The following is an 8388-nucleotide window of genomic DNA, read 5'->3' on the forward strand; positions in this document are numbered from 1 at the left end:
GAAATGAGTGAAGCCAGGAATGGACAGGGATGGTTGGGTTGGGCCCAACCAGAAGAGAGGAGGGCAAGGCCCTGGATCAGGGCAATGGTTGAGTTGCATAAGCAGAAACTTACTGGGAGAGGCAGACAGCTGGGATCCTCAGGGTGCAGCTGTGAAGTATGAAATTACCTGCCTTGGGAATTGTAAGCACTGTAGCAGAAAAGTTAGCAGATTTGCCTACTCCAAAAATCCTTGATTAGAAGGCAATGGCCATGAGGTCTGAGCCCACCGCCTTCCAACAACATCCTCAGTTGAATGGACTGAGGGTGTTCTACACACTGGACCCAAGCAGGCCAATCAGCAGCCCTTTCCAGGGAATTTGGAATTGGGACACAGGGGCTCTGGTTCATCAACTCTCAAAGCTTAGCATACCTAAGACCCTTGTGAGTTTTTATGCTCCACCACTGTATCTTCAGAATTGGAGCTGAAAGATCTTTGGTCTTCAAAATCTTTGCTTTTCAAAATGTGTCTGGTGTAGCAGGTTTAGAGCTCAGGAATCAGTATTTCGACTCATATCCCTGGTGAATCTGAAACAGGAAGGCCATGGATCACCATCTGGGAAATAGGCTTCTGGACTAGGGGTTCCATAGAGCTAAGGTGGACATTTTTGGTCCTATAACTGTGACGCAGAAGAAAGAAGCCTGGAGAGAGGGAAGTATACAGCAGACATACAGAGAAAAGTCATGAGGTCCCAGGAGCTGGGCTCACCAGTCACACTTTCCCAGCCCTTCTCCTTTGCCTCCCCCACTCTAGTGGAGATTAGAAATTCTAAGCATTTTTCAGTCTCTTTTGAAGCCAAGAGGTCACGTGATGTATTTTTGGCCTATGAGAGGTATGTGGAAGTTGGCTTAGTTGAGAGAGGGCATTTTGGGAAAGCATTTGCTTCCTGATTGAAGGGTAGATATACAGGCAGCTGCCCATTTCTACCCTTCTACCTGCATGAAGCTTGGAGCTGCAACATTTTTAATCCATGAAGCAATAAATGCAAAGAGCCAACACACTAAAGCTGCAGAGTGAGAAGAAAGGCCTCAAGCAACAGACTCAATGCCCCCACTCTTGCTTGTGGCACATGCATAGACTATGCTTACATTTTCAGTGGCTTATAGGAAGAGAGCTTACATACATTTAAAAAATCTGTGTAATCAGGAACATGAGAACAGAATTGTGGTGAGTACATTCTAGCGGGATGATTAGGTAGAAAGAACTGAGCGCAAAGGGACCTGTACAATAACCACTACAAAAGCAGTCCCAGCAGGGCCATTTTGAGAAAATTAATTAGAGAGCTAATTGCCCAGCCAAGAAACTGAATCCTCTAGATTTTTCTACAAATTATAAGGAAGTCCCAGCAGCTACAATTATGCTACAGAATGTGTCACTGTGGTATAGTTATAGACCAAACCAACTTAAAGACACCTAATCTGAAAAAACATAAAGTCAATAGGAAAGGCAGTTAAAAATCCTATGAGAAAACCAGAGAAGATGATTACAGAAGGACCTTAGCCTATGATCAGCAGCTCATGTTTGCATCACCTTAGCGTGGGCAACCAGACCTCAGGGCCCAACTGAGTTAACTGGTCAACAAATGCAGAATGTGCAAACTTACGTCCTGATTGGAAAGTATTTTATACATGGGATGGTACAATTACTAAAATCTTAGGAAGGAGATTTATTAAAACCCAGGAAAATAGAAAATATGATTAAGAAACAGGCCAAGCACAGTGGCTCACACCTGTAATCCCAGCACTTTGGGAGACCCAGGCAGGTAGATTGCTTGAACCCAGGAGTTTGAGACCAGCCTGGGAAACATGGTGAGACCCTGTCTGCAGAAAAAAATAACAAGTTAGCCAGGTGTGGTGGCACATGTCTGTGGTCCTAGCTACTCAAGAGGCTGAGGTGGGAGCATCTCTTGAGCTTGGGAGGTCTAGGCTGCACTGAGCCATGATCATGCCACTGCACTCCAGCCTAAAGAAGAAGATTAAGAGACAAAGTCAAATCCAACACATTTAAAAAAATTTTTTTTTGTAGAGATGGGGTCTCACTATGTTGCTCAGGCTAGTCTTGAAGTCCTGGGCTCCAGTGATCCTCCTGCCTCAGCCTCCCAAAGTGCTGGGATTACAGGCTTGAGCCACCATGCCTGGCCCATCACACTTTTTAAACCAGAAATGGTGTGAAGACATTTAAACAGTTTTGTAACCATAGTGACATTTTATGTTGTTTTGGTTGCTGCTTAAGGTATTAGAGAGTTTATTAGTTTCCTGTGTCTGCTGTAACAATTACCACAAACTTGGTAGCTTAAGACAACAGAAATTTATTCTCTCATAGTTCTGGAGAAGAAAAGAGTCTGAAATCAAGGTTGTGCTGCCTCCAAAAGCTCTAGGAAAGAATTCATCCCTTTCTAGTGACAATGGCATTCCTTGACTTGTGGCCTCATCCCTCTGAACTCTGCCCCTGTGGTCACGTGGCCTCCTCATCTTCTGTGTGTCCATCTAATCTCCCTCTGTCTCCTCCTATAAGGACACTTGTAATTGGAATTAAGGTCCACTCAGATAATCCAGGGTAATCCCCCAAGTCCAGATCCTTAATCACATCAGCAAAGACCCTTTTTCCTCATTAGGTAAAATTTACAGATCCTAGGGATTAGGATCTGGTATCTTTCAGTGGCCACACATCAGCTTCCTACAGAGAATGCCTAAGAAACTCTGATATACTTGATTTGTGATTTAATTTTCTATTTAAATGTTTTTACATTTATAATTGATGTATGCACATTTAGGGAATTATGTTTTTGATGTATTATTTAGACAAGAAGTATGTGAATTTTTAAAGGAAGGTTGTTTTTAAAACGATTTTTAAATAAATTCATAAGATTACTAAATTAGACTTTTAAACAAAGTACAAGTGGTAGCAAATATTCTTTTCCACACAAAATCTCTTGGAAACATAATGAATCTATAACATACTTTACTTGAAGTCTTCCTTCACTTGCTCTGTGTGTGTGTGTGTGCTCCAGTGATCCCCAGTAGAATAGAGAATATTTCTCATTTCTACTCTAAAAGATGAGGACAAAATTGGACCCTTGCAAAAGGCAAACTTAGATGAGTGCACTCACCTACTTATTCCATTACTGATGAGATGTAGGATGAGAGGTTGAGCAATGAACAGGCACACAACACCCTGGGTCATCCACAGCCCATGGCAACTGCGCACACACAGCCTCTGGAGGACTTCAGAGCTCACAGGTTAACTGCTGTTTGCCTCATAATGACTCCTGTGTCTTGTGCTGGTGGATTTGGGTTCCTTTAGCAATGGGTCATAAGGCTGCTATAGAATGCTTTATTTTGTTTCTTTTCCCTGAGTAGGCTAAATATGTCCTAGGTTTTAAAGCCACTTTTTGAAGAGAGACGTTTGCTGAGCTGCATTTTTACAATACACTCTATTCCATGAGGCACATGATGGAGTTCAAGGATTGCTCATCATTATCCAGTTGGACACTAGGACAAGAAACTTCTGGAAAACAGTTTTACTCCAGGGCATCTGCTCCTCCCATCAACATATTACCTTCTTAAGGTAATTCCTTTCCTGGCCACTGTACTTCTTTTCTTCCAAAAATCTCTCACCCTTCTCCTGAAAGATTTCTGCATGTCTGAGCAGATAGATGACTCCACTTCACAGGATTTGCATAAATTACACCATGTGGGGCTCTCCAAGAAAGTGGTCATTGATCAAGTCTCAGAGACCTTTAAAATGTCTCTCATGTCCCCAGCATGCCATACTTTTGGCTATCTTTTGTCTGCGGAAACTACTTCCACCACTGAAGGAGATGTTTCCTCTGGTCCTCTTTAACTTTGCTCTGTGGTCAAAATGTTGGACCAAGGCTGTATTTTATGCTGCTCCTTTTTCCTTTCTGAGATCTAGTCTACTGAATATAATGCCCAGGCCATTGATTCATTCATGGCCATTCATTCTATAGGTTCTGGCAAGCACTACGAAGTATTACTAATTATGCTATGTATATGTAGTTTTGATCTTCAGGATATGTTATAAATAAGAACTCAGTCACTTTCCTTATCAGGTAATCAGTTCCTCATACCTAGCCCTGTGCCTTTTGCAACTTAGGAAATTAGAGGGAGAGAGCTTAAGTAACTTATCTTGGATCACAAAGAGGCATCATGTGTCAGAGAAGAAGTATGTTATTTCATGATGAGTAGATCAAGTATAAATCATTTCAAACTTGAAACACTTGAATAAAGCTAAACTAGTATGGTTTTTGAGTCACTAACATAGCATTTCCTCAATGCTTTGGGAGTTTCTTTGGATGCCTTCCACTAGACTATCAATGAGCCCCAATCCCATTAAGCCTTTGAGAAGAAGTGAAGTTACTAGAGGATTACATGGCTCCTGGAATTTTTGTGTTTTTTCAGTGATGTGTTGATGGATATGAGTCAAAAAGTAGATAGGAGCATTCCATAATTGAGGGAAATGAGAAAGGAGATTGGTTAATGATCCAAACAATTCTAACTGGGAAGGCTGTAAAATTTGCTTTTCTTAATAAGACTGATGCTTTTTAATGTTGTCTTCCAGCTCCTTAAGGAAAATGACTATAGAAAATTGGAGGGGGTGTCCAGAAAAAGCACAGAGATTTGGAAGTCTACACAGAATTTCAAGTTCCTGTTCAAAGATTACACTTAAACACACCTTGATGGGCTTAGTCACTCAAGTGAGTTGGTATTGCAGGTGTTTGTCTTCCGTCCAACCGTGGGCTTCCTCTGTGGGAATTTCTTTTTGTGCAGCTGAGATGGTGTATAAGAAATCTCCAAAGTCAAAGCAAAGGGTAGTGACTAACTTGAAATTCCTTAATGGGGAAATTTCACAAAGGTCCCACCAAGGGCAGAAAATAAATGAGTCTTAAAGTTTTGGGAACTGATCATATAAGCACATAAAATAAAGAAACAGGGTGGGAAAATTCACTTCCCAGAGAGCCCTGGTAGCAAGAAGGCCAAGTCTTCCCAAAGCTGTGTCACCAATAAATCCCCACAGATTGGACCCATTTTTCCCCCAGAAAACATGACAAAGCTCACATGGAAATCCACACTGTGTCCAAAGTGCATTTTAAAATAATATTTTTCGATGAAAATAAGATTTAAAATATTTATATAGTTGAACACACATGCATACATCTATATAGATATCCGCACAGAATATAGTATAAAGAACATAAAATTAAGAATCAAGACACTTGGGTTGAGAACAATCTATACCTCTCTCCCTTTGGAAATTCCCTAAACTTCAGTTTTCTATTTGTAAAATAATAATAGGATAGGGCTGGGCACGGTGGCCCATGCCTATAATCCCAGCACTTTGGGAGGCCAAGACAGGCAGATCACCTGAGGTAAGGAATTCGAGACCAGCCGGGCCTACATGGCAAAACCCCACCTCTACTAAAAGTGCAAAAATTAGCTGGGCATGGTGGCATGCACCTATAGTCCCAGCTACTTGGGAGGCTGAGACAGGAGAATTGCTTGAACCCAGGAGGTGGAGGTTGCAGTGAGCCGATATTGTGCCATTGCACTCCAGCCTGGGTGACAGAGCAAGACTCTGTCTCAAAATAATAACAATAATAATAGTAATAATAATAGGATAATTATATTTTCCTTACCTAAGTTGTTGTGAAGCTCAAATGAGGAAATAAATGTGAAAGTACTTTTAAAATTGTAAACAATTATTCAAATGTAACTTATTATTATGTCCATTATTATAAGCAAACTCAATATAATGGAAAAACCACCTATATTCCCTGATGCTCTGGCCACACCTATGAGATACAGTACATGAAAATCAAGTCCAAGTTTGGAGCTAACAATAAGAGGATGGGGATAAAGGACTCAACTGTGAGATACCTCCTCATTTTACTCTCTTTGCTGGATACCGTAGAGTAAGGCAGAAGTCATAGCTAATTGTCTAATTTTCCTCAACTTATTCCACCAGAAACTTCTCTAGACTAATAATGTTGGTTCTAAAATGAAGGTACAGTCTTGGATAATTGAGGTGATTAAAACTGTAGGTACCAGAGCCCAGAGCCAGACCACCTGGGTTCAAATTCTAGATGTGTCACTTACTGACTGTGCATCCTTTAGAAAATTTTTTCTAAAGGAGTGATAACTGTACCTACATAAACAATGCTCCATAACTGTGCTGTAGTTGGAATGACTTTAACCTACTAAGAAGAATGGCAGTGGATGAAAAATTTTCTGTTCTTTTTATTTCTTGAATGAGTCGGTATACCTCCCTCTGATCCCCTCAGAGTAAAACACTTGCTAGTCGGTACAGGGCCCTCATACACACTAGGAAAATATGTACATTGCTCAAGACACTTTATCACATTCAGTGGGAGAAAAAAAGTCTCTAATGACAACAGTGCAACTGATCTCCCCTAGAATTGGGCAGTAGACAATCTGCTCAACCTTACATGATAGTCTTGTCTCTGAAACTCAGTCTCCTTTTGTGGAGGGAGAGAGGAGTGGTTAGGTTAGATCTCCCTAAATCCTCTGATAATTCCAAAAGATTCTGTGATTTTTTTTTTCTTTTAGGTGTTTAGACTGTCTTTAGGATGCAACACTTCATTCCAATTCTAGGGCTAAGGAGGGCTAGCAGACCAAGCACAGTTTGATCTCAGGGTTCTGTGGACTAGGGCAGATAACAGAGCATTTCAAGCAGATAACAGAGCATTTCAAGCAGATAGCTGGCGAGGCTTGCATTTTCTGGCTAGATTAGCATCCTTCTCACCACCTTTTTACACATAGAACCCAAAACTAGGAAGACATAGCATGAGTCCACCCTGTGCCCTGCGTCATCCTGTATAGTCCAGGGAAGATACCGAGACTTGAATTGAAGCAAGGGTGCCTTTGCTTATGAAGAAGACTTTTTTTTTTAAAGGAGGCCATACATTTTCCCTTGCAAAGGAAACAGAAATTTCCATTTGTAAAGGTGTCCTCCTCTGCTGTACCAGGAAAAGGAGAATGACTCTTAATGACCAGAGAGACAACTCTTGTCACTGGAGGTGTACCAACTCGAGTCTGCATAACAAGCCTTATAAAATTGTTCTTATCTACCGTTAGTTTCCCCCAAATATTTACCTTCCCATCAGAAGCTCAAATTCCTTTTCCTTTGTCTAGTCATTTTTCTAGGATTTATCATCCTTTGTTAAAATGGGATATAAGCCTCTAGGCCTAACCATTTTTTTAGGTTTTTCACTTATTTTCTGTAAAGCTCCTGTGTATATATGAAATATTCTTCTATTAATCTGTCTTTTGTCAGTTTAATTTGCAGGCCTCAGTCACTGAACCTAGAGGGTAGAGGAAAAGTTGTCCCCATATTTGCCTCTCACCTCATTGGCTATTGCAAACAAAACAACTATTCTTTTTACATCACTGAAAACATGAAATCTAAAGGAAGAAAAATCAGTGAGAGGGAAGTCCTTACTAATGGGAATTAGGAGTGGGAAGATCAGGACCCGAGCAGCTGACCTTGCTTCTCAACCACTTAATGCTCTTGGGGCCCCAGATTGGAAAGAACTGAGTCACCACCAAAATTCCTTTCTTCTTCCATCAATGTTCCCCTTGCTGTCTTTCTTGCTTCCTGCCATTTCTCCAGCCCTCTTTGGTATATCTTGGCCCTTTCTTCTCATGACTTCCTTTGCTGTTGCAAAGGAACTGCTATTCTACTCAGAAATCACTAAACTACAATGGATTCATTTGCCTTTGCACATAAGCTTCTGGGGTGACCCTTTGGTTAGCCCCAACGTGCATCTCTGGGAATGATTTAGCAATCTAAGACTTAGTCTCAGCAAGAAGAGGAACCAAGATGTTCCTTTCTCACAGAACCTGTAATTTGACCTCCCTCTCAGAACAAAGATAAAGGGATGTGGTTTTTACTTACTGGCTGTAAGACACATTATACATTCATTTTATAGATGCTGAAAAAATGGAAGCCCCGGAAAGAGAACATTTTATAAGGAGAATCTCCAGGCATGTCTTAAAACACAGAGACAAGTAAACGACACCTGAGTGTCAGGACTGCCAGGACTTTCCCGAGACATATCAAAGAAACCATAAACATAAATCACCCCAGGAAGACCAAGTGTGCAGATGAAGATAATACTTTAGACAAGCAGTGTGCTTTGGTTCACAAAGGACTTTCATTTTCACAATCTTTTTTGATCTACAAAACCTAAGCAGTAGTCAGGCCATATATTATTATAATTCCTACTTTACAGGTCACAAAATGACCACCTAGGGAGGCAAAGTGACTTCTAAACTCACACAGCTAATACGTGGTGAATAGGATAGGCTT

The 8388-nt window shown here is 40.9% G+C and overlaps 1 annotated feature.

The window, feature by feature from the left end:
* Positions 7653 to 7782: an enhancer, noted in NCBI's record as "active region_25145". NCBI's record gives its function as "activates an Ori minimal core promoter by ATAC-STARR-seq in GM12878 lymphoblastoid cells {active_cell/tissue: GM12878}" and the evidence as "EXISTENCE:reporter gene assay evidence [ECO:0000049][PMID:35858748]".

The sequence above is a fragment of the Homo sapiens genome, chromosome 6 (assembly GCF_000001405.40).
Source record: "Homo sapiens chromosome 6, GRCh38.p14 Primary Assembly".
Classification (NCBI taxonomy): Eukaryota; Metazoa; Chordata; class Mammalia; order Primates; family Hominidae; genus Homo; species Homo sapiens.